Source organism: Homo sapiens, chromosome 9 (genome assembly GCF_000001405.40).
Source record: "Homo sapiens chromosome 9, GRCh38.p14 Primary Assembly".
Taxonomy (NCBI): domain Eukaryota; kingdom Metazoa; phylum Chordata; class Mammalia; order Primates; family Hominidae; genus Homo; species Homo sapiens.
In genome coordinates, this window is record NC_000009.12 from 89,344,539 (window position 1) to 89,368,734 (window position 24,196).

The following is a 24,196-nucleotide window of genomic DNA, read 5'->3' on the forward strand; positions in this document are numbered from 1 at the left end:
ATCCCAGCACCATTTATTGAATAGGGAGTCCTTTCCCCATTGCTTGTGTTTGTCAACTTCGTCATTTGTTCCTCGCTTCCTCCTTTACTGCCTTTGGTGTTAAATGTTTTTAGAGTACACTTTTGATTTCTTTGTTGTTTTTTTTAACTTTAGTTTGAAAAACTACCTTCTTAGCAGTTGCTGTAGGGATTACAATATACATGTTAGTTTATATATTGAAGAAACTTTACTCCAGTAGGTCTCCATTTTCTTCCTCCCCCTTTATGCTATTGTCATATGGTACATCTAAATAGATTATAAACCAAACACTGCAGTGTTGGAACTGCTACTTTATACAGCCATATCTTTTAAAGAAGAGAAGGAACAAGGAAAAAATATGTATTTACCAGTTTCATATTTATGATTTTAGGTGTTCTTTATTCCTCTGGATTCAGTTGCCATCTTGTATCACTTCTGGTAGTATTTCTTCTGGAGGACTTCCTTTGGTATTAGTGACACAAGCAATACTAGCAACAAATTCTCATGGTCTTTGTCTGGAATGTCTTTATTTTGCATTCACTTTTTGGAGGTTAGTTTTGCTGAATGTAAAATTCTTGTTGACCGCCCCATAGCTCATCCCTATAGCGAGTCTTCCCCTGGACTCTGTGTAAGTCCCCACTGGCCTGGCCCTGTCTGTTGCTTGACTGTTCAAAACGGCAGCCTCAGACTGGCCATGCTGCCATGCCTTCCCCATTTGCTGAAATCACTACTTTAAATGACCACGCTTTGAATGACCACGCTTTGAATTCAGCAAGCCCCTTATGGCAGTGACAGGGAAGCTGCTGGTTTTCATAGCCTTGGCACCTGTTGAATGAGCCAAAGCAGAGCGGGGAGAGACTCTGGGAAAAGCCTCAGACAGGAGTGTCCACACCTATACTGTTCCCACCTGAAGGCTACTCATCTTAAGGAGTAAGCACTCTTCGGTTTGTTGGAACCCTTTGGTCACTTTCCAGAGGGCTGATATGACTGTGTTTGGCAGTTCTGTTGAACTTCGTGGTTGTTTTTGTGGGAGGGAATGGTTGATCTTCCTCTGTTGTAGGAAGGACCCTCCTCAGGCCCGGTGTCAGTGCTTTGTGAAGAGTTGCCTGGCAGTGGGGTGCAGGAGGTGTAGAGCTAGAGGGCTTGTGGCAGGTTTTGCAGGAGCCCAGGTGAGATGCTGAACTTGGTGGTGTCATTGGGGACCGGGTGAGTGAGCACCTATGAGCCATACAGGGTTTTCCACGAAGAGCTGAGAAAAACAATTGAGCCAGTCACATAGTCACATGTATGTTTCAAACCCCATGTGGAAACAAGGCTCCAAAGATGGAAGCAGCTGTGCTCACTAAGGCCAGAGCAGCCTGGGAGGCAGGTACAGTTGTCTTGGTTGACCTGTGCAGGTTACGTTCTGCGTTGAAGCAGTGAATCAGACAGTCAGACAGGCGAGATTTAGTGGGACTGCCTGATTGACAAAGCACCAATTATTTTAAAAACATGTTCCAAAATTAAAGGAGGGCAGGTAAAATACATTTGGAGAAATATTGATGATTGTTGAAGCTGGACGATGGACACAGGGGGTTTGTTTACCATTCTTTTTTCTTTGGCGTATGTTTGGAAATTTTCCAGATCAAAAAGTGAGGATAAAACTATATGAGAATTAACTGATTACTTGAAATAACTATTGAGATGGGAAATAGAACAGAAAAGGAGAATAAAATTGAAATGTTCAGTAGTAATCACAATAATTTACTGACTATGTAGAGGAATTACCAACTGCCCATGATGGGATTTTGGAAAACACGTCTGGAAAACTCAAGAGAATTAACTAGAAATATTACTAGAATCTTATAGTGGCCTTATAAGGTAGCTAGATACAAGATACACATGCGGAAACCAATAGGGCCAGCTTCCACAAAGGCAGTGTCAACTGGAAACGGTGGTGGAGAGGGACGTGTTCACAGTAGCAGCAGTGAGTGCAGACCACCTAGAACTGTCCTGAGTCAGAAAATGAGATCCATGCTGTATTAGACTGTACTGAGAAACATGGGAGATCTGATTACATGGATAGGAAGGTAGGTGTTCCTAAATTACTTGATACTTTTTGGGAATCTCATCCAAAAGATACTAAGTTTCATTTGGAATTACTGCCAATGAAAAGAATGTGTAAGAGATTGTTCTCAAAGATGAGAAGGGTTGTGGGGACAAGCTGGGGGTGACTTGGCAAACTCCTTCAGATACCCTGAGGCAGCCCCTGGGCGAGCTGCGATCCAAGAGCTGGGTGGGGCATCTGGGAGGTGACCGTGAGGGCTTTGTCCCACTGCGTTTCAGTTGGAGCAGTGCCAGTCCTTTCCAAAGAATGTGCATCAGGGGAGAGAGGCCGCCGCATGAGTCAAATGAAGACCCCGCACAATCCCTTGGACTCCAGCGCCCCACTGATGAAGAAAGGGAAGCAGAGGGAGATCCCCAAGGCCAAGAAGCCAACCTCACTGAAGAAGGTATGTGGGGTGTTTCAGCCGAAGTGAGGCACTAGAAAACTTAGTCTCACATTTCCATAGTTATTCTCCCAGCTCTTAGATTTTTAGATTTTACGACTTGTATTACTTGAATATGTTGTAGTAAAACGTGTTAATGATACTCCAACAAATGATCCCTCACCCTCCCAGTGTGACACGTCAGGGACATGTGATGTGGGGAATGCTTTAGCTACCTGAGAGGAAAGGAACATGTTTTATTTTTTCAACTTTGCAATGGATGGACAGAAAACCAGAAATGGGAGGAGTTGCATTTTTCTTCTTCTTATGATCCCCCTTCATCCTACCCTAGCTGATATTTCTGATGTTGAGAGTCAGTGAATAATGCACACTTCTTGCACACCTTCCAGAAGGACAGTCACAGGCTCCTCCGGTGAATTCTTTTTTTTTTTTTTTTTTTTTTTTGAGACGGAGTTTTGCTCTTGTCGCCCAGGCTGGAGTGCAATAGAGCGATCTCGGCTCACTGCAACCTCAACCTCCACCTCCCGGGTTCAAGCAATTCTCCTGCCTCAGCCTCCCGAGTAGCTGGGATTACAGGCGTGTGCCATCATGCCCAGCTAATTTTTGTATTTTTAGTAGAGACGAGGTCTCATCACCATGTTGGCCAGGCTAGTCTCAAACTCCTGACCTCAGGTGATGCACCTCCCAAAGTGCTGGGATTGCAGGCATGAGCCATCACGCCCAGCCTCCCTCCGGTGAATTCTTACAGCAGCCTGTGGTGTAGGTGCTCAGGCAAGTGCTGAGCTGCAGAATTGTCTTTAGAGCTCAGGGCTCTCCCCTGTGGCTGCTCTGCATACCTTGGGAGGAACGTGCCCCTCCAAAACCAGCGGGGAGGGTTGGGTGAGCTCCCTGGAGTCTGGGGAGCACTTGGCTGCTCTCAGGGCACTAAGAGGCACATTGCCAAAAAGTTGAACTTGGGCAGTTTAATTTGCAGAAGAGCTTATCTTTTAAGTACAAGTATTTAGGCATTTTAATTGTTTATTTAATTTTTAAGATTATTTTGAAAGAACGGCAAGAGAGAAAGCAGCGTCTCCAAGAAAATGCTGTGAGTCCAGCTTTTACCAGTGATGACACACAAGATGGAGAGAGTGGTGGTGATGACCAGTTTCCCGAGCAGGCAGAGCTGTCAGGTACCAACTTCTCTTTGTGCCTTAAGAATAATTTAAACGAGAGCAACTATGAAAAGGATGAGCTATGCTGAGCAAACTCTCCAGGACTTGGCTGACTCCTCTTCCTTTTGTGGTGAAAGTGGGTCAGCATTGAGCTCCCAGCTTTACAGGGAAGGGAGGTCCCCACAGATGGGGGGAGTGTTTCTAGTCCCTCTGGTTCTGGGGTCTGTGAGGGACAGAGGTGAGGATCCTCCCTTCCCACCAGGTTTGATCTGTGTGATGCTGGATGGTCCTCTAACTTGAAGTGGTCATGAGAATTAACACCGCTAGCTGCACAGCTGCTTACCAGCAAGTATTGGAGACGTGGGGGCGTGAACACAATTGTGTGTTTTTAAGGAAACTTCATATTCAGTTATACATTCAGAAAAGTGCACAAATATCAGTGTACAGCTTGAAGACTTTTCACAGTGACCGCCGCATTCAGATCAAGAAGCAAAACACAGCCCAGCAATTGCTTGTGCCCTCTTGTCAGAGGCCTCCCCCAGGAGACCCTGCCCCATGGCAACCCCACCAGGGGCTGTGGCTGTGGCTCTAGTGCAACTGTGTGTTACGTGCTGCTCTCTTTGTCCCCTTTCCTTCAGCCTTGCTGGCAACATGGAGATGCCGTTTATTTTCATTACTGTGTAAAATTCGGTTGGACGAATGTACAGGGTTGCGGATGGGCATTCAGGCATTTTCCAGTTTGGGTAATTAGAAACAGGGTTGCTGCGGACAGTGTTGTATGTGTCTTAAAGGACACAAGCACTCGTTCCTGTGGGGCATTACCTGGGAGCAGAATTGCTTTAGTAGCTCCTGCCCAATGGGTTTCTGACTGTTCTACCAGTTACAGCCCCAGGGAGGCTGAGAGTTGCAGGTGCTCCCCATCTCTACCAGCCCACGGGGCACTATGTTTTTCAACCTTGCCATTCTTGTGGGTGTGGTATATGTTTTTTCATTCCTTCATTTGGTGATCTGTTACTGCAATTGCATTTTGATAGTCGGTAGAAGTAACTAGTTGGGGACAGTAAGCTATCACTGCATCAGATCTGGTGTGTTTAAACTAAACACACCTCTTGAGTTTCTCATAGTTTAGATGTTGGAGTTCAGCTCTTTCTAAAGGATTATTTCAAAAAGAAATGGTCTCAAGCATTTGAGAAAAAACTTAGAACTAAAATCCTGTTTTTTAAAGCTCCCTGATAAGAGATTCTTCAAAATCAAAAAATAAATTTGGCCACTGAACTGCACACTTAAAAGTGGTTAAAATGGTAATATTGATGTATATTTTACCATAATAAAAATGAATGTATAAGTAAATTGAGGGGAGGCACACCTCCAGGCATGACTGCCTCCACCAGCTTTTCTGTTTTCCCCAGGCATCCTCGTCTGTTTTTTCTGCCTTCTGTAAACCTCTCTGCATGTTGTCTGTGAATGTGGTGGTTGTGTGCAGGGGTCTGGTTGCATCGGTGAGACTGCATTGGGCCAGCCCCTCAGTGTGTGCACTGGGCCTCACAGATATCTGATGATGCCTTTTTCCTCCATGAAGGGCCAGAGGGGATGGACGAACTGATCTCCACTCCTTCGGTTGAGGACAAGTCTGAAGAGCCACCAGGCACAGAGCTCCAGAGGGACACAGAGGCCTCCCACCTTGCTCCCAATCACACCACCTTCCCTAAGATCCACAGCCGCAGATTCAGGGAGTGAGTGAGCCCCTGCCTGCCAGGGACTAGGGGAAGATGGAAGTGCTTCGGTTCAGTATGGCATTGATATCTCCCATAAATCCTTGTTGCTGGGCCACACTGTGCTTTAAAAACCTCATGGTTGAAAGAAGCTGGGTACCTGGTTACACGCATTCAGGGAGAGCCTAATCGTTGTGTCTGATTCTGCTTCTACTGAGGTTCTTGTATTAATGATGGAAGAGGGGCCCTCAGTCCAGGTTTGCAGTCGGGAGTGGATAGTGAAGTGACCGTGCATCATCTTTGGGCCCCTTTTCATGGTTTAATCTCTGTGTAATGTCTTAGGCAGCAGGATTCCTTTAACCTTGTGTGCTCACTCTGCCTTCTCCCCTGCCCACTTTTCTTCCAGGATAGTCTCCCGGTATTTGTCTTTATGACAGGGAGATGCACGGGGTAGTGGCTGAGATGGGGACCTGTGGCAAACTATGGTTGGGCAGGGCCCAGAGAAATTTGTCCCTTGTAGTTGGGAATGGGGGAAGATGCCCCAGTATTTACCTTTCATAAAATTAAATCATCAGGAATTCCACAGTTCTGGTTAGTAGTACTTGTTGAAACGTGACTTTTTGTCTGATGCAGTCTACGTCTCTTCTCCCTGGGGTGGGATGGGAGCAGTGCTGCAGTGTCACAGCCAGTGGCACAATTCCTGATGTCTGATGTTTCTTTCAGTTACTGCAGCCAGATGCTTAGTAAAGAAGTGGATGCTTGTGTTACCGACCTACTCAAAGAACTGGTCCGTTTCCAAGACCGTATGTACCAGAAAGATCCAGTCAAGGCCAAGACTAAACGTCGACTTGTGTTGGGGTTGAGGGAGGTTCTCAAACACCTGAAGCTCAAAAAACTGAAATGTGTCATTATTTCTCCCAACTGTGAGAAGATACAGTCAAAAGGTAAAGGCACAGTGTGGTCCTGTGATATGTGGGCCCCTGCATGAGTGCCTAGTGTGCCCTCGTGTTTGCCACACACCTCAGCGGCCCATGCCACAGGTCTTGACAACTCGTTTTCTTTGTGGTTTTTGTTTTTATTGAGTAACTGTTTCCCAACTGCATTGACCATTACCAAGTGCCTTACCCTCTGTAGGGCAGGTGGGTCCTGTGATCCTGCACGCTGGGAGGCCAGCCAGCCCACACAGGCCTCTGGCATCAGGGAAAGACCTGCCTCTGTTGTGCAGGCCACTGCCCTGGGGCTGGGATTGTCACTGGTCACTTGCACCACAGAGATGCTGTGCCTGGCAGCCAGGCAGTACCTACCTAGGGCTTTCATCTACTTGACATTTTGTTGTTCAGTCTGTGGTTGACTCATCTGTTTGCTTGTTACAGATGTGGCTTTGTCTAAATACTTTGCCATTTTACTTAAACTGGAATGTGTGTTTTTGTTTTGTTGGATGTGATATGCTGGGTCAGGTAACAGTGAACCCTCACCTGTGACATCTCATGTTTACCCTGTGCTTGTGCTGTCTTGGCTCCTGGAGGACTTGCCTGTGTTGTGTCCTCGAATTGAGCAATAGGAGAACTGATAAGAGCAGAGTGGCATTGCTCATGGACACCTGTCCTTCATCTCCATCTAGGCTAGGGAACACTCACAAGCCCCTCCCTGGCCTCATTCCTTTCTCCTGCAGTGTCAAATTCAGCTTTACGGAGTCCCACTTTGAGATAATGCATCCACATCCTGGGGCTGAACCCTCAAAGATGATGTTTCCCAGTTACCATTTCATATCTAAAGCCTGGAAGTTTTGTGACATGTCCGAGGCCCCCAGCCAGCAGCTCGTCCCTGTCCTAACTTGGTACGGGTCCAGCATCACCGCTGACCAGAATATGACAGAAGGGATCTCAGTGACCCACTCATCTGATTGTGTGCCCAGAGGCCTTTCCAGGTCATTGGAGAGGACAGGCCACATGCTTCCCTGGCTGTTTTTGTCAGTGTTGTACATGTCCACAGCTAAAGGGTCAAGTAGTCCTATAGGGTTTGTTAAGGGAGGGGCAGGCTTGGGCTCCCTTCCTTTCCTAGCAACTCCACCTGTCAGCTGTTAGCCACACTGTGGGATATTTCCTCCATATCTCCATGTAAGAGGCTTGTGAGCAACTGCTTCACATGTTTTCAGTTTTAAGTATTTGTCATCTTCCCAATAGAGCAAAAGGGCTTTGCTGTTACTTCCCCTAATGTATAGTTTGGGTTATTGTTCTTGTTTTGTGGTGGTTGCTTAATTGTCTATATACTTAGCATTAATGAAACCTCATGCCCTCAGCCAGCTGCCTCAGTCTCCTCTAAGACGGTTACACCAGGCATTCTGCAGTTTCATCTGCTGAAGAAACCTTCATTCCCAGCTCACTGCACCTCATGCATTTGCCACCCAGGGATACCCTTGGCTCCCACCCTGCTCTCAATAAGGTGTTGTTTATGGACTTCTTCTTGGGCTGCACTCTTGTTTTGTTGGAGTGCATCCTCCAGTGGTTTAGGAGAAAAGGATTCATGGGAGGCATATTTTGAAGGTCTTGCTTGAAATCCAGAGACTCTGATTCTTGATCCTTTGTGATCATTTTGCACCTCGTGCTCTCTGGGGGTTCACTGGAAGTGCCTTGATCCTGGGGTTACAGGATGTGGGACAGTTTGCATCCAGTGTCTTTGGCTCTGGGACACGATGAATTTTTGCTTTGAATCCTCTTCTCCAGTCCCTGCCAGCTCTTGGAAGTATGTCAGGGTCGGGCCTCCTGGACTGGTGTCCTCACATTATTTGTTTCCTGCTTCTTTTTATCTCTTTCTTTTGGTTTCATTTTCTGTTAGAATTTCTCAACCATATCTTGTAAAATTTCTGTATAATTTTTTACTTCTGATATTATTTTTATTTTTTGGGAGCTGTTTTTGTCCTCTGAAGATTCCTTTTTTTTTTTTAATCACGTTGCTGCTGCCTCATGGTTGCCTCTTGGAGAATTTTAATGATGCCTAGTTCCTCTCCCTGCAGTGCCTCTGTTTCCTCCAGGTAGTTTGCTCTGTTTGTTTTGGCCTCTCATGGTGGAGGTTTTCCACAGATGTCCTCTGTGTCCTAGTTGTCTGCGCCTACTTAAGAGCCACTAAGTAGCCGACTGGAAATCCGGGTGTGTGGCTGCTGTTCAAGGCTGTGAGCAGCGTTGAGGGTGGTGATTCTCAAAACTGTAGCCAGCATCAGAATCACCCAGAGGGCTGGGGAAAACACAGATTCCAGAGTTTCTGCTTCAAGTAGGTCCAGTGGGCCCAAGAATTTGTACTTCCAGCAAGTTCCCAGGTGCTGTTGCTGCTTCTCCAAGGAGTGCACTGAGAACTTCTGCTGTAGGATGATGTGGTTGGGCTGCTTCCATGTTGGAAGTGCCCCTGGGTGTCTCTGTCTCCCCTAGGGCTGGTCACATCCCCAAGGAAGACTTCTCACTGCCTGCCTGGAGGGACAGGCGAACTTCACCCTGTGAGCTCATCCTCTCACCACCATTAGATGTGTGGTGCGTCATGTCCTGCAAACCTGTGCTGTGCCTCACCAGAGGGCTGCAGCTGAGGGGCTGGACACCGAGTTGCCTCTTTGCCCAGTGTTCAACCAGCCCTCTTCACCTGTGCCTCACCCTGTGCTGCCTATTCCCGACCTTTGGGGGATTCTGGGGTCCAGGGCTGGCTGTTCTAGGCTTTTCTCACTGTTGGCTTAGGTTGGCTAGCTCAGTTGTCCATTTGCATGTCAGCTTCTGAAACTTTTTGCTGTTGTCTCTCACATTCTTCCGTGGATTTGTGTCTTTAAAAAACAAAAAGGTGGAAATGTATGCCCTTAGCCTGCAGTCACCCCACTTTCTTGGAAGACATCATTCTCCTTCTCTGCCTCTGCCAGAGCATGGGGCTAGGTTTTTACTTGATCAGCATCATAAGGATTTGTTGTATACTTAAAATGCATTTGTGTAATCATTGGTTCCGACACGTTTTTGCTTTGAGGCATAAGGGACTTGATTGTATATTTTATAAATATTTGCCAGATAAGATAGCCAATGGCTTGCAGTCATCTTAAAGATAAAAATTGATGTTATAGCCTTGAATTAAGTTGAAGTACTGTATTTGCTCTGAGTGGCATTTAACCTAATAATTCTGAACTTAAACTTTGAAATGGAAATAATCTGAGCCTAGCATCTTGCTTGTTTGACATAAGCTTTCTTGTGGAACTTCAGTAGTTGGCCCTTGCCACACGTGCTTTCATCTCACTAATAACGGGTTGGAGGTTGTTTGAGCAAAACAGTCTGGATTTTGCTGCTTGTATTGGGTGTTCCCAAGGCCACCACCAGGCTCAGTGATGTGCCAGGAGGACTCACATGACTCAGCTTAGAGTGGTACTTTCAGCTGTGACTTACTACAGTGAAAAGGCACAAAGCAAAATTAGCAAAGCGAAGAGGCACATGGGGTTAAATGTGGGGGAAACCAGGCTCCAGCTTCCAAAAGTCACTTTTAGTGACATCACATAGGAGACTCTTAATATCCCAGAGACAAGTTAAGAGCCCGTGGGAAGTGTTGTCTACCAGGGGTGCTCATTAGAGACTCAGCGCCTAGGGTTCTGTTGGGGGCCGGTCACGCAGGCATCCTCTGCCTAGCACACACAAAGTTCCAGACTCCAGAAGGAAAGCAGGTGTTCAGCAGAAACCACAGTGTTTGCACACCATAGAGGCACAGTGAGTTACTCTTACCAGTTAAGGTGGTGGGAACCCTCCCAAAATCCAAGTTCACAGACCCCAACCAAGGGCCAACCTGACAGGCAGCCTCGAGAGGACAGCAGCCAAGCCTGCTCTGTTAGGTTGTTTCTGCACAGTGCTCAAATAACATTTCAGATTCACTCCCGGGAGCTGGGGTGGACACCAGGCAGAGACCCTCCAGTGAGAGAGATGCATCTGATGTTACGGGGGACTTCATATGTCTCCCCTGACAAACTGAATATAGATTTCACTGTAAGTATACCTCAGGAATACGGAACACTCCACCCCACCTCTGCCCTATCTCCCCTTTTCCCAGCCCATCTGGAACTGGTCTTTTTCTTCAAAGTTTCTATCCCAGGAGGCTGCCTCCTCATCACTTTGCAAATGCTTTGGGTAGATCAGGGGCAGGGTGTGGGCAGAATAAGGGCTGTGGGTTTAGAAATTAATCTCCTATCCAACTAGATGCAGAATGAGTTCCCAGTTTCCACAGTATGGTAGGACGTGCATTGGAGAAGTTCTTCTCTTGAAATGAGAGGATCGATATGTAAGTAGATTCCAGGTGATACTATGCTAATTGTAAACAGTTGTTGTTTTTTACAGTTGCTCCGTAAAGACTGGGTGAGTATCCTGTAGGCCAGATGCCTGGCCTACAATGCTGTGTGCCTTGGTAACTCGAAAGCATATGCTGTGCCTTCCTCCAGAGACCACTGTGTTCCCTCCCAGGGTGGTGTGAGCATCCTCTCCAGGAGTTTTTATTAGCAGTTTTCTTATGAGGGAGGGTCAGCATCAGGAGCTTGGCATTTTCTGTGAATTGTTCATATTTGTTGCCCATTTGCTTTTGGGATGTTGACCTCTTTTAGATTGATTTGTACCTTTTTTATAAGTTAGCCCTTTGGGTAAGAGTTCCAAGTATTTCTTCTGGTTTGTCAGTTTCTCCACCAAAAAAAAAAATTGGCCATGCAGAGACTTTAGGTGTTTTATATATTGGTATTTCATTTTTTAGTTGCATCTAGGTATTGTGTTATTTCTCAGCCTTCCCACTCCAGCGTTTAAAAGGTTTGCTTTTAAAATTCTGTATATCTCCTGGTTCCTTCATTTGTATATGTTTAGGTAGGATTTATTGTGGTCTAAGATGGACAGGATGGGCCCACCCAGTCCTCTAGGATCTTCTCCCTAACTAAACCAAAATGCTGTTCCTCACATGCTGTTTCCATCAAACTCCGGTTTTTTCTGGCGTCCATCCTGTTAATCTGCATCACCTTGTTTACACTATGGTATCTTTATAGTAAACTTTAATACCTGACCATGTTAGCCTGACATCTTTTTATATTTTTTCCATATTTTTTATTTCTTAGTGAAATCCCGTCTGTAGTAACTTACAGTATTTTAAAGCAGGCGTCCCCAACCCCTGGGCTGCAGACCAGTATTATCTGGGGCCTGTTAGGAACTGGGTGGCACAGCAGGAGGTGAGCATTACTGCCTGAGCTCTGCCTTCTGTCAGAACAGCAGCAGCGTTGGATTCGCATAGGAGCACAAACTCTGTTGTAAACTGCGCTTGTGAGGGATCTAGGTTGCCTGCTCCTTATGAGAATCTAACTAATGCCTGATGATCTGAGGTGGAACAGTTTCATCCCAAAACCATCTTCCCCTGTCCGTGGAAAAATTGTCTTCCACGAAACCAGTCCCTGGTGCCAAAAAGATTGGGGACCGCTGTTTTAAAGTGTTAGATTAATGTGGAGTTGACATTTCATCATTTTGGATCATTCTATGCAGGAGCATAGGTGCCTTTTCATTTGTTCAGATTTTCTGTTGCGGGGATGGTTTAAAAGACAGGGTCTCACTCTGTTGCCCAGGCTGGAGTGCAGTGGCATGATCATGGCTCATTGCAGCCTTGAACTCCTGGGCTCAAGTTACTGAGCTTGCCTCCGCTTCCTGAGTAGATTGACTACAGGCACATACCACCACACTGGGCAAATTTTTTTTCTTCTTTTTTTTTTTTGTAGAGACGGGATCTTACTATGTTGCGTAGGCTGGTATTGCGTTCTTTAACAGCATGCTGAAGTTGCCTGTAAATCTTTTCATGTTTCTTGAAAAATTCATTCCTACCAACTATAGTCTTGTGCTGCTGTTGTAAATGGAGTCATCTCTTTGATATATGCCAACTGGCTGCTGTGTGCTTGTGCCACACCCCCTCATGTATTTCTCATGCTGTTAGGAGTACTTCTCAGGTGCTGTTGGGTTTTCCAGGTGCATCACCTGCACATGGTACTCATTTCACCTCCATCCTCTCTCTGGTGCACCAGCCTTGGCTGGTCCCTGGCCCAGAAGCAGGGTCAGGGAGTAGAGGGTGGTGAGCCCTCGGGAGCCAGACCTGTGCCTCGACCAGGGGTACAATGTGGGATAAGAAACTTAACCTTTCTGTGCCTCTGGTTGTGCATCTGTCAGTGAGGACACAGCATCTGTCTGCCTTTTGGGATTTGGGGGAGGACACAGGAGCTAATAGGTGGTAAGTTTCAGTAATACTAATAGTTAACTTTTCCTGTTAAGACAATACCAGCTGTGTGTTTTCTTTCCATTTTTCCCCATATTTTTGGAGAGTTGATTCTGCAACTTGCTTTCTCCTTGTATTTTCAGGGGCGTCTGCCTTGGATATAAAATCATAGATGGGTGTGTTGCTAAGAAAAAGCTCTTTGCAACCAGTATTAACACCACACTCCATGTGACATGTCTTCCTGTCATTTTTCATTGTCCTTTGACCAGGTGGGCTGGATGACACTTTGCACACAATTATTGATTATGCCTGTGAGCAGAACATTCCCTTTGTGTTTGCTCTCAACCGCAAAGCTCTGGGGCGCAGTTTGAATAAGGCAGTTCCTGTCAGTGTGGTGGGGATCTTCAGCTATGATGGGGCCCAGGTGAGTGCACAGGGCACAGGCCTCTTCAGTCACTGCCCGTGGGAGGAAGTGGGGGCAGGTGGTCAGTGTGGGCTCACCCACAGAGCAGCCCCAGAACCTCCAGTAGGCTGTCATTGAGGAGGAGCCACCACTTAGGCAGAACCTTCTTATAAAAAAGTAGCCTTTGTCTCCTTGACATCATGGGTTGTCTGGTTCTGAACTGAGCTCTGTTCTGGGCTTGCTGCTGACATAGTGGCACCTCAGGCAGGCCCAAGAAGTCGGCCTAGCCCACTCTTTCCTCTGGGGCAGCATCCCTGGTACCCACCCATAAGCATGAGGTCCACATTACCCCATGTCACCCCTGCTTCTCTGTGGAGGTGGCCATTGCTGAGTTTGAGGGACCCGTGTCCTCTGTAGCTGGGATGTTACCTGTGTGCTCTCACTTGTGCCCAAGGATCAGTTCCACAAGATGGTTGAGCTGACAGTGGCGGCCCGACAGGCGTACAAGACCATGCTGGAGAATGTGCAGCAGGAGCTGGTGGGAGAGCCCAGGCCTCAGGCACCTCCCAGCCTACCCACACAGGGCCCCAGCTGCCCTGCAGAAGATGGCCCCCCAGCCCTGAAAGAAAAAGAAGAGCCACACTACAGTGAGTGCTTAAGGGAGAGTTGTGTCAGGTCGAGTGTCCTCTTATTTACTGACTTTAATTAGGAGTCCCTAGGTGAGCAGCTTGACAATGCTGCAAGACCAGCTGAGTAGCAGGGCCTGGTAAGTCCAGCCCATTGCCTAAGAGGTATTATCAGACTTTTGAAGTGGGAAGGGCTTGTCAGTGACTGTCTCAGACTTCAAGTCAGATGTCTTTTGACAATGGGTGGCCTTAAGGATAGCTGTACCCAAGACAGGCTTGGAAGGCCAAGTAAAGGTTCAGTCCTCTCCTAGCCTACCTACACAAGGCCCCAGCTGCCCTATAGAAGATGGCCCCCCAGCTTCTCCTCAATAAGGGGCAGCCCGGCCCAGCAGGCTGAGAACAGTGAGTGAATGTCTGCCAGGGCACCTCTGAGCACCGTGAGCTGCTGGGCAGTGGCCACAGGCTCCCTCTCTCATGCTGCTGGTTTTCTTACAGGAGTTTTCCTACTTGTTGATGCCTATTCCTCACTCGTGCTGTTTTCTCATTTTAGTTGAAATCTGGAAAAAACATCTGGAAGCATACAGTGGATGTACCCTGGAGCTAGAAGAATCCTTGGAGGCTTCAACCTCTCAAATGATGAATTTGAATTTATGAGAGTTCTTGCCTGTGTGTCTGTATTTTGGGTAAGGAGGGGAGGTCTGAAAAAGACTTTGGGGCTTTTTCTTCTGTTTTTCATGACAATGTAATTTGTGTAACTGTTGAATCTGGAAATTGATCAGCATTAAAGGGCACATGAAGCAGTGTCTGCAGGCGTTCAGTGCTGCGGAGCCTGTTAAAGGTCACTCAGATGTGCAGGTGTTAATCTTCTCTAAAAGCCTGGTGATACAGCTCTGGCTTTCTGAGCACACTACGGATCTGGAAAATACTGGAAAATGTGATACTTAGAATACTTTGGCTGCTAAGGAAACTTCCTCTCCATTGCAGAATAGCTGAGCCAAGTGAGTGAGTTTGCAGAAAGCAGGTGGTGAGCTCCTGCCTGCTGGAGGTTGCCATGGAGGGCCATTCCTGCCCGGCAACAGCACCGTCCTGCAGGGAGCCACTTGGCAGAAGGGTGCAGGGCTGCTGGTGTCAGAGCAAGAGGGCTACAGGGAAAGGGCCCTTTCTCAGGGGATGTAGCTTTTTTAAAAGATTTGGGAACACTTGGAGGATTTGCTAAAATGAGCCTCAGAAGGAAAATTGGTTTTCTAACCTGTGACTTTTTGAAATGAATTATTCCTTTCAGTCTTTATTTTTCAAAGAAACAATGTGTATTGAAGTACCTAGATTTGTTTGATAATCAACAAATCTTTCCTTTTTCAATGAACATATTCTGAATGTGGTTTCTGTCTTAGACCAGGAGGACAGAGTTTGCTTTCATATTTTCCCTGTAAGTAAGAGGGCTTATTTATTTTAAATAAAGAGTAATTATTAAATTTTGTTTCAGACTCTGGTGATTTTAGGCTTCTCAGTGGTCTCTGTCTTACTTGATGATTCCTATGTCTTAATTTACCTCCTTTGGACAGTCTGGGCCCTGAAATAAAAGGGGGCCGCGTAGTGGGGGTTCTGCTATCCCCAGCACTCCTAGGTCTGGAAGTAGTGATTGTCAAAGCCTCCAGCACTGCACAGACCTGCCGGAGCCAGATCCTGGCTCAATCCCAACCTGCACTTGCGTTTTCACCACAGCCAATGGCAGGAAAGAATTTTCACTGCTTTTTGTATTGTTTTGGCTTTGAAAGTGCTCTTAATTGAATTCAGTCTTGGCAATATTGTACCTCTTGAGAAGCGGCCTGTGATGAGCACATAAAATTGGAATAGTGAGTCAGAAATGACATGCTATGAGCAGGGCTGGAAATGTGACCAGAGGTTGGTGTATGAAGGCACCGTCTGCCCTGTCATCTGTGGAGCTCACAGTGACCAGTGTGAGCCTTGCTGTTCTTTACACGTTCTGAGCTGTTTAGACATGGGAAGTAGATGTGGTCAGCCAGGCCATCAGTAGTCCCAAGCAGCAAGTCATCTCCACCCATTTATCTTTCAGGGCAGTCAGCGGGGCCAGCAGGAAAGGAGAGGTCTTTCCTGCTTCCTCCTCCCCTCATCAGTAAGTAAATAGCAAGTTGTGGTAAGTTTGAAAATAGGAGATTATTTGAGAATGAAAGTTCCAAAATTAATTTGTGGGCAAAAAGACAAAATAGCCTATCAGCTGCACTCAGCAGCTAGAATTTTAAAATTTGATAAATCAAAAAATTAAAGATCTCCACTAGAGATGAATTCCTCTGCTCAAAGCCCCTTTTTAGAGCTCTCTAGTTCTGTGATATTTGTTTTGCTAATCCTAAGATAAAAGCAGCTTAAACAGAGTAGGTAGGCTTTTCAACATGTCATGCAGCTGCTGAGAGCTTTCCTTTTCCTGGGATTTAACCAAACTCTCATCACATGGTTGCCTGGTGATGCTATCATTTTCTTGGCAGTGAAGGACTCCAGCTGAGGCCACTGCTGCAGGTGACTTCAGCTCCCTCAACGTGCAGATGGTGCCGCATGAAGCACACAGCTCTGGGCCAGGGGCGCCAAGTACAGTCATTTAACTGAACAATGTACAACTCTATTTTTATTTTTTCCAGCAGAGCAAAGAAAGACTCAGAAATTCATCCTCATAACTCCATTTCCCAGTAGAACACTCCACATTACGAAAACTTCAAGTATGTAATTATTTTGTTAAGTGTGAAAGTGCTTGAAATCCAGACTTCAGGAGAAGAGACAGAAAACAGCACCAAGAATATAAGCCTAAAGCCCATAGCATTTCACTCATCAGTTTGTAGTGGTTGAAGCCACACCCAAAGCAAGAACCACAGTGAGCTGATGGATATTTTACAGGAAAACTTCAGGTTATGAGTATGTGATGGTTCCGTGAGCAAGACTGGCATCCTTGGCTGGATGGGCAAGCACACACCTCACAGGCAGCTGGGCCTCTCGACTTGGGGTGCGGAGGGGGAACGTGTGGAGACAACCAGGGTGTCTCCAGCATCTTCAGGACACCTGTTGTGATGGATCCTGAAGGAATTAGCAGGCGATGTATGCTGATCCCACACAAAGGCTGGTAGAGAATTTGTCCAGCTCCAGAAAGAGGGGATGCAAAACAGGTCATTGTCACACTGCTGGGAAGACACTCAGTATTTGCTAGGATCACCAGAGGGGTGCGGCTTGACTTTTAACAGAGGCTTTGGTTTTATGATAGACATGAAAACTGTCATTCAACAGACAAGAAGAGACGTGTGTGTAAGATTAAAGGCTGAGTAGCTTTAGGACAAGTTCACACACACAGTGACACAGTCTTCAGAGATACAGCTTTAATAATTAGAGACTTGAAAGCAGGTAGAACAAAACACTCATGAGACTCATTCCATCGTCAAGAAATTTAATATGGCACCAGGAGATTTGCATAATTGACCTATTTGGCTTTCTGCATCAAGTTTGGTGTCCTGTTGCAGAAGCTGAGCATTGACGGGACAGAGGCATAAACTGCAGCGCTTGATAAAATAGAGCCCAGTATTCTGAGGTTAGTGAAGAAAACACAAAGACTTGACAGATGCACTCCCAGATCGCATCTCACAGTCATTCAAGGTTTAGGGCAAGGCATTTCCATGTGGAGTCTCACCTTTTCTTGTCCCAGTCATGCATCTTGGAGTTCCTTGGCTAAGTCTGCAGGGAGGAGAAGCAGCAGGCTTGATTTGCATCAATAAAAGCAGCGATCTGTGCTGGCCATGCTAACCCTGTTGGCTATTAGGGGGTGGGGGCACTCTGTCAAGGGGAGTCACTGGGACGGTGTAGGATCAGCCTTCAGAGCCTGCTGCCTGACCGTAGAGGAGGAACCTGCACACACCCTGCTGTTTTAGTTCACGAGCAGCTATCAAAGCCTGTTAGCCATCCTGGTTACCTGCTTGTGCCAGACAGAACTTACTGTCCCAGGTAAGCACCTAATTTTTTAAGTCTTAGTTCCTGTCACAGGCCCACTTGGGTTCCAGGCTTCTCCACTGTCCCGCCTCTGCCCATCAGGTGGTGGCCCAATGGCTGTGTTCAGAGCAGGCTTGGGCAAGACAGTTCACAGTTGTGGGGGACCAGGCCTTCTCCGGGGGTGGCTGTGGTCAGTGGCAGCAGGGTCTTGTTGGGGTTGAGGTCGGTGTCAGGGACTCCTTCCTGGTGGCTACAGGGTGTCCTTGCTACAGCTTTCCTGAAAGAACAATGTGGTCTTTGAATCCTTGGTGGAACGGATGGGCCTTTCCTGCTCTGCAGCCCAGTCTGTCTCATAGCCCATCCCAGGCAGAGCACTCAAGGCCTCAGCCCCCTGTTGTGGTTCCCCTCCTTGGAGTCTAAAGATCCAAATGCCAGGAGTGGTTCTCCCATATGTGACAGGAAGGCAGAGCAGCAGCGCATTCACTCCACTCCCAGATTGTGCTGAGAGGCAGGAGGGCTGGAGAGAGGGAGCCTGTGTGTGCTGAAGTACAGAGGATCAGCTGTAAATGCCCAGCCTTTGGTGGCAACAGTTCGGGGGTGTACTGCTGGCAGCCACGTAACCCACACACTTTAATGCACTCATTTGAGTGCTGCAGACCCCACCGCAGGTGGTAGCACACAGTGATGAATCCCTGCCTTTGCCTTCTGTATCGGCTATTTAGGAGCCGGGGCTGGACAACTTTGTCTCCGTGGGGAGACAGGGAGCCTCTAGGGAGCCTCTGCCCCACTGCCTGCAGCTTCCATGCTGTAGCCCAGTTCCTGCCAGGGCTTAGCTCAGGAAGCCACTCCCCCTGACCCCTCCAACAGGTGCCTCAGGTGAGGCATCCAGCCAGGAGCTACCTGGAGGGTTCCCCATCTGTCCAGGTTTCCTGCCCTCCTCAAAGGAGTGGCTGGCTGAGTGCTCTGTACAGAGAATGGGGTGGTCGTGGGGGCCCATCTAACTAGACAGCCCCACCTGTGAGTCCCTCCCAGTCTCGCCTCCCTTCAGTCTCTTTTAAGGGCTGGGGCCAGATGCCCCTTGATCTCCTGCAGTCTCAGCAACAAGACGTGGGATTTCCCCCCCCAGTGTTGCAGATTTCATAAAGGAAACTGCTCCGGGGCTAAGAGGGAACAAGTGGGGTCCATGCTGAATGGGGCCCTTGAAAGATCCACTGGATGTGGCAGGTGCCCTGCCCCTGGCTCCAGCCCTCCTTTCTTTGCCCGGCTGCGGCCACTTACCCACGCCTTCCTCCAGCTCTGCATCATCCGGTCGTGCTCCCCAGCCACAGCCCTCCAGGCAGAGAGCTCTCTGGTCCACCTCTCCTGGTGGGTCACTTCTGGAAAACAAGCAGGGTCCCCAGGTCAAAGCTCTGTGGGCCTTTATGGCACCCTTGATGCCCACTGGCCACCTTTCTCAATGGAAAGCCAATAAAACCCAAACCCAGAATGCCACCGTGCAAGCATGCTTTCCAGCTGTTTTTTTCACTGCCATTGTAAATAGTGAAAAATTACCTCATAAAAGGGTAACAGTGGGCATGGGAATCACTTACCAGGTCTCATCACAGCAACCTGCACCTTCGAAGTCTTGTTCCCTGCTGAGGAGAGGACAGAGCAGCGATACTCAGCGCTTTCCCTGATGGCGTCCTGCAGCCAGCTGAGTGCATGGGCCCTGCCATCGGGCAGTGCATGGGTCTGCACAGGGACACAGGTCTCCAGAGCTCGCCCATTCTTCTCCCAGACAAAGCGAATGTCTGCAGGACCTGGGGACACAGACCGTTTCCACCTCTGAGTCCACATTTAGGACCCAAAGAAGCTGCCCCATGAGGGTGCAGGGGGGTTACCTCTGCTGTCCCAGTTGGACCTGAAGTGACTTGGGACAACTTCCAATTCAGTCCCTGGGACTGCCCTGGAGGTGGCTTCCCCATGGCCAGCGGGAGCCTTGGCCTTGGCCCGTCCTGTGGACTTCCTGCTCTTTGACCTTAATTGCCATTTTTCAAAGCACACCTGTGTGGCCTGTGTCCCCTAGGACCCCCTTTCTTGCAGCGCTGTGCTGGTTTCTTACAGAATGGTTCTGGGCCTTGGAACAGCATCCCACCCCACCATGGCCCTGCTGCCACACACATGTCCTGTGACCACATGGACAGAGACATCCCAAGGCTCTGCCATCACCAGGGCCACAGCATGGAGAGGCCCAGAGCTCGGCCAGCTGTGTGCAGAGGGGGCTGGGCCAGAGTGGGGACCATGAGGGCCTGTCTCTCCAATTGAGACACTGGGGTGGGCTTGGAGGGGAGTAGATGCCACAGGCTGGAGAGCTCAGACCCTGGCAGGGGCCAGGCCCTGCAGAATTACACTAGGACTGCCGAGTGCAGCACATCCAGGATGGGCTTCCAGCCTTGAGCATGGACTCTGGGCCCGACATTGGCCACTTCTGCCGCAAACCTCTGTTGTTTTTCTCTGGGCTTTTGATCTTAATTACTTATTGAAGAAAGTAGAGAGGCCAGTTACTTCACACACACTCAGACCATCTGTTGCAACCTGCCAGGGTGGAGCCTGGCTGGCCTCAGCTTGTCTGATGGAGAGATCAGGAGGGTGGGCGAGGCAGAGACGTTCCCCTGTGGCCCAGGCTGCCTCGCCTGGGGAGGCCAGCCTCATCCCAGGGCAAGAAGTCTGCGCGGCCAACCCTGAGGGCTACTCCTAGACACTATTTGTTCCAGGTGGCTGGGGTGGGGCTGTGAAAACCAGAATGTTGGGGGTTTTGGGCGGGGGGGAGGGGCACAAGTAAGTTCTGGTCAGCAGGTCACCTCCCGGCCTTCCTTGCTCGTGAAGTCTGTTGGCCCTCCAGGGGCTGCTGGCCATGTTGGGACAGGCTCAACTCCCTGTTCTTACTGAAGGAAAAACAAGCACATCCATTTTGATCTGCTTCGCACACTGGCTTCCACTCAAATGCAGAAAGGGCTGAGGGGGGCCACAGTCCCACTAAGCTCCAGCCCCAGAGCGTACAGACCCTGGAGTTGAGCTGGGAGGGCCAGGCCAGGCCCTGGAGGGCAGGTGAGGGGGTGCAGGTGCTCCTTCTGTCTCTGAAGCTCCTGCTTGTGGTGGGGCTGGGGAGGCCGGCCAGCCTACTCTGCTGCTTCTGTCTCCCTCAGGCACAGCCTGCATCAGGCCAGGCACCCCAGCAGCGTGGACTGGGGTGACACCCACCTGCTGCCTAGCGACCCGGCTCCCTGACCAGCACCTGCCCTTCCTCGAGGCCCACCAAGGCCCCCAAATGGGCCATGGGCCACCTAGACCAGTGCCGGCCATGGCCTCTGCTTGACCATGACACCTCGTAAGAATTGGTCTTTAGAAGTTAGATTTGCCCTAGATGTCCATCAACCTCACAATGACAAAATGAAGTGTGGCTTCATGGAGAATGCTTAGTAGTGAAAAGGAAGGAGTTCAGAACACTGAGCAGGTAAAACAAATTCCAGAGCCAAAAGAGTCCAAAGTACCTGCACACACAAAAACTGGCCTTGTTCTCAGGTGTAGGGGCAGAGGTGCATCCAGTTACAGGTATTAAATGGTGTGGGTGGACCCACGCTCCCCTCCCTGGGCAGGACAGTAGTGGCCAGAGAGCTTTCCATTTCTGTGGCACATGCTGGACTTTTGAAAAGAAGAGATCGCCAGTTTAATGAAGCTGACTTTAGTAATGCATTTTCCCTGCTTTACTGACTGTGGCATCTGCTCATCTTTGTCCGGTCTCTTGGTCAACAATTCCCCACTGTCCAGGATCACCAGAGAATGCTCCTCCCAAGGACTTGACCAAGCTCAGACCCTTTAGCTGGGCAGTCCTAGGAATGAGTCCCGAGGCAAGGATGGGCCCAGTGAAGCCCTGTTTCTATCAGTGAGGAGTTGGGAAATGTCCAAGAAGGGGGCCACAAGTCACTCATTCGAAGTGCCATCGAAGAATATTCAGCAACACAGAAAAATAAGTGAAACAATATCTAGGAATGTGTGCATATATGTACACACCCATGTATACATGTGTGAACGTAGATAGTCATGGCCCAAAAATGGCTGGGATGCTGGTGGTAACTACCTCTGGATGGTTAAATTTGGGATTGTTTAAATTTTTTCTTTATACTTCCCTGGAGTTTCCAAACTTATAACAAACAAGCATTGCTTTTATAATAATAATTTTTTATAAAAGTGTTACTTTGAAGGAAACATTCTGTAAACTCAAGGAAATTCAGAAGGTGCTCCAAAACTGTTTTGCCTGGCGGCCCATCTGGCCCTGGCCTGGTGGACAAGCCCTTGTGAACAGGTTTGGTTTTTGTGCAGAATTTAAAAAAAAACAAAACTTAACACTCTATAATTTGTTTTTTCCCACTCAAAATGTTTTGGACTCTGGCCACAGATAATTCCATGTATCTATCTACAAATATAAGTACATATTACATAGATGTACAAACATATGTCTCTATGTACATCTAGGTGCCCATCAACTGGGGAATAGATATTCCCTTTCCCAGCTGATGGGCATCCAGGTAAAATCTCATTTTAAGAAACAGATTTTTTTGAGCTGTTATGATCAAGTAACACTTTTCTTTGAACAGACAGTGAAGTGAGTTCTATAAAAGCCCGGTCTCCTCCCTCATGTGACCTGCACCAAGAACCACCCAGGGGACTGGAGTCACTGAGTCACAGGAGCCTCTGGAAGGTTCTCATGACCAAGCCCTTGAGACTAAGAATCTGGGTGGCCTAAGCTGGATTGGATTAATCACCCAACGCCCCATCATGGGACCACTGACTGCAAAACCCTCAAAGCTCTACACTCTTGGGGTGTGAGCAGAAACAGACACGTGCTTACCACTGCTAACAGGCATCAGTAAATACTATTTAAATACATGCTTGATCATCATAAGACATTAAAGATGTTAAAGAAGTACTTACGTTCCATGTATTCGTTTTTAAACTATCCATCTCTTTCTGAATGCATGAGAGAGAGGGAAAGTGAGAGTTACCATCAGTGTGCAGGGCCACCCCATCAGCACCGCACCCTCAGCGGGACAGGGCAGCAGGTGCAAACCCACGTATGTCCCACGGAGGACTGCTGGGGAGCTCCTGGAATCCTAGGCCCCCAGTGGGGAGCTGTCTTCCATCTCCCAGCAGGGCCTCCTGAAAACACCACTGTTTTCTTGCTTGGGCCAGTGCTCCAAGCTCCCTAACCATCCAACCCTGTTACCTCAAGAGAGCGGCCAGGCTGGGGTGCTACTCCCAGATCACCCCCTTGGCCTCTGTGGGGTGGGGACAAGAGGCTGGTCTGATGCTGTGGGGCTCAGCAGCCACCAACCTGGATGTGCCTTGGCTCTTCCCAGTGGCGAGCCAGGTGACACTGGTCGCGCCCTCAAAGAAGGGAAGTTGTTGTGGCTTACAAGGATCTAGGGTAGAGGTCCTGAGGACAGATATTTCCCCCTGGCCCTTCCTGTCACTGCAACTAGCTTAAGTTGAAGGCAAATTAACTGCTGTGGCAGATGCCGTAGGTAATGATCTTTCTCCTACAGCTAGGACTGTCGTGAGAAGACTGATCACCTTGGTATAAGCAAGGGCCAGGTTTATTCACCAGGGCTGGGTTTATTACATCAACTCAGGAGTCTGGGGAGGCTGTTGGCAGCCTGGGCTCCAGCACTCAGCCTGTCACTGGGGCACCTCCCACCTGCTCACTCCCACCCCAAGCCTCTAACGGAGCCAGCTGGTGCCAGGACCACCATGGCTTCAGAGCTTCGTGGATGTGATTACAAAATATGGAGCTGATTCTACTCTGCGACAAACCAGGTGCCCTCTGGGCAGTGGCCTCGCCCTGAGGAAGGCCTGGAGGGGTGGTGAGACATCCACCCAGTGACTGAGTTGCTCGGGCCCATCCTGGAAAGTGCCCCCACTGCCATCTCCTGCAGCACTCCTCTGTGTCCTCCCGGCATCCCCATGCATGTGGCCCACTCTGACCTCAGGGCTGGCTGCCTCGGGGCCAGCCCATCTCCCAAACTCACATCCAGGTGGCCTTCCTGCAACTAATGGGGCAGCGGGCACATCCCCAGAGGGGCCATTCTCTGCACACAGTGCTGGCCGCTGGCCATCATGTCTTCCATGATGGGACTCCTGGCTTGTCCCTGCCTGTACCCGCTGCCCGGGCCTCACCCGGACACCTGCTCCCAGCCTCTTTTCCCGAGGATCCCACTGCTTCCCTGGCCCATCTCTGTGCTCTCTCCTTGGGGCACGGTCTTTTCTAATCCTGGCCATGGCCCCTCCTCCCTCCCAGACTCTGGGGACCCTTCTGGGGACAAGGACAGTGCAGCTGGGGGTATGCCCTGAGGCCTTGTTGGTCATCCTTTCTGTCCTCTGTTGAAGTCACAGAGTAGCCAGGGGCCCCAAGAGGAGGGAGGAGAGAGTGAGACCCCTGCCACATAGGTAGCAATTCTGACAGCTCCCTTCTCTGAGTCCTCATCTCCCTGACAGTCACCAGGCCGACGCAGCCTAACGTTTCACTCTGGTATGCTCTAGACCACTC

General features: G+C 48.8%; 2 protein-coding genes across 60 annotated transcripts in view, besides 2 other annotated features; one reads left to right on the forward strand and one right to left on the reverse strand.

Moving 5' to 3' along the window:
* SECISBP2 (SECIS binding protein 2) overlaps nt 1-22,579 on the forward strand; it is a 48,618-nt gene extending 26,039 nt beyond the window's left edge. For 18 of the 38 annotated variants that reach the window (NM_024077.5, XM_017015122.3, NM_001354702.2 and 15 more), the window contains 7 exons: nt 2,344-2,510; nt 3,541-3,676; nt 5,238-5,391; nt 6,094-6,314; nt 12,873-13,027; nt 13,461-13,653; nt 14,183-15,125. In NM_024077.5, coding sequence (NP_076982.3) covers nt 2,344-2,510; nt 3,541-3,676; nt 5,238-5,391; nt 6,094-6,314; nt 12,873-13,027; nt 13,461-13,653; nt 14,183-14,286 — 1,130 coding nt within the window. In that variant the 3' untranslated portion in view covers nt 14,287-15,125. Of the gene's footprint in view, nt 1-2,343; nt 2,511-3,540; nt 3,677-5,237; nt 5,392-6,093; nt 6,315-10,247; nt 10,657-12,872; nt 13,028-13,460; nt 13,654-14,182; nt 15,126-15,706; nt 15,767-16,283 lie in introns of those variants that run through there. The other 20 variants (XR_007061351.1, XR_929840.2, XR_007061348.1 and 17 more) reach the window with 9 other exon arrangements.
* The window catches only part of SEMA4D (semaphorin 4D), a 137,327-nt gene continuing 129,379 nt past the window's right edge, over nt 16,249-24,196 (reverse strand). For 20 of the 22 annotated variants that reach the window (NR_163886.1, NR_163889.1, NR_163884.1 and 17 more), the window contains 3 exons: nt 19,203-19,412; nt 18,892-18,989; nt 16,249-17,890 (listed from right to left, as the gene is read on the reverse strand). Coding sequence is in view for 16 of the 22 variants with exons in the window: in XM_047422627.1 (XP_047278583.1) it covers nt 17,864-17,890; nt 18,892-18,989; nt 19,203-19,412 (335 nt within the window). In the remaining 6 variants the exon portion in view is untranslated. Of the gene's footprint in view, nt 17,891-18,891; nt 18,990-19,202; nt 19,413-24,196 lie in introns of those variants that run through there. The other 2 variants (NM_001371202.1, XM_047422629.1) reach the window with 2 other exon arrangements.
* Nucleotides 19,359-19,859: an enhancer, noted in NCBI's record as "H3K4me1 hESC enhancer chr9:91978812-91979312 (GRCh37/hg19 assembly coordinates)". NCBI's record gives its function as "activates a minimal SCP1, AML or CMV promoter by ChIP-STARR-seq in primed H9 embryonic stem cells {active_cell/tissue: H9 hESC(primed)}" and the evidence as "EXISTENCE:reporter gene assay evidence [ECO:0000049][PMID:30033119]".
* Nucleotides 19,860-20,360: an enhancer, noted in NCBI's record as "H3K4me1 hESC enhancer chr9:91979313-91979813 (GRCh37/hg19 assembly coordinates)". NCBI's record gives its function as "activates a minimal SCP1, AML or CMV promoter by ChIP-STARR-seq in primed H9 embryonic stem cells {active_cell/tissue: H9 hESC(primed)}" and the evidence as "EXISTENCE:reporter gene assay evidence [ECO:0000049][PMID:30033119]".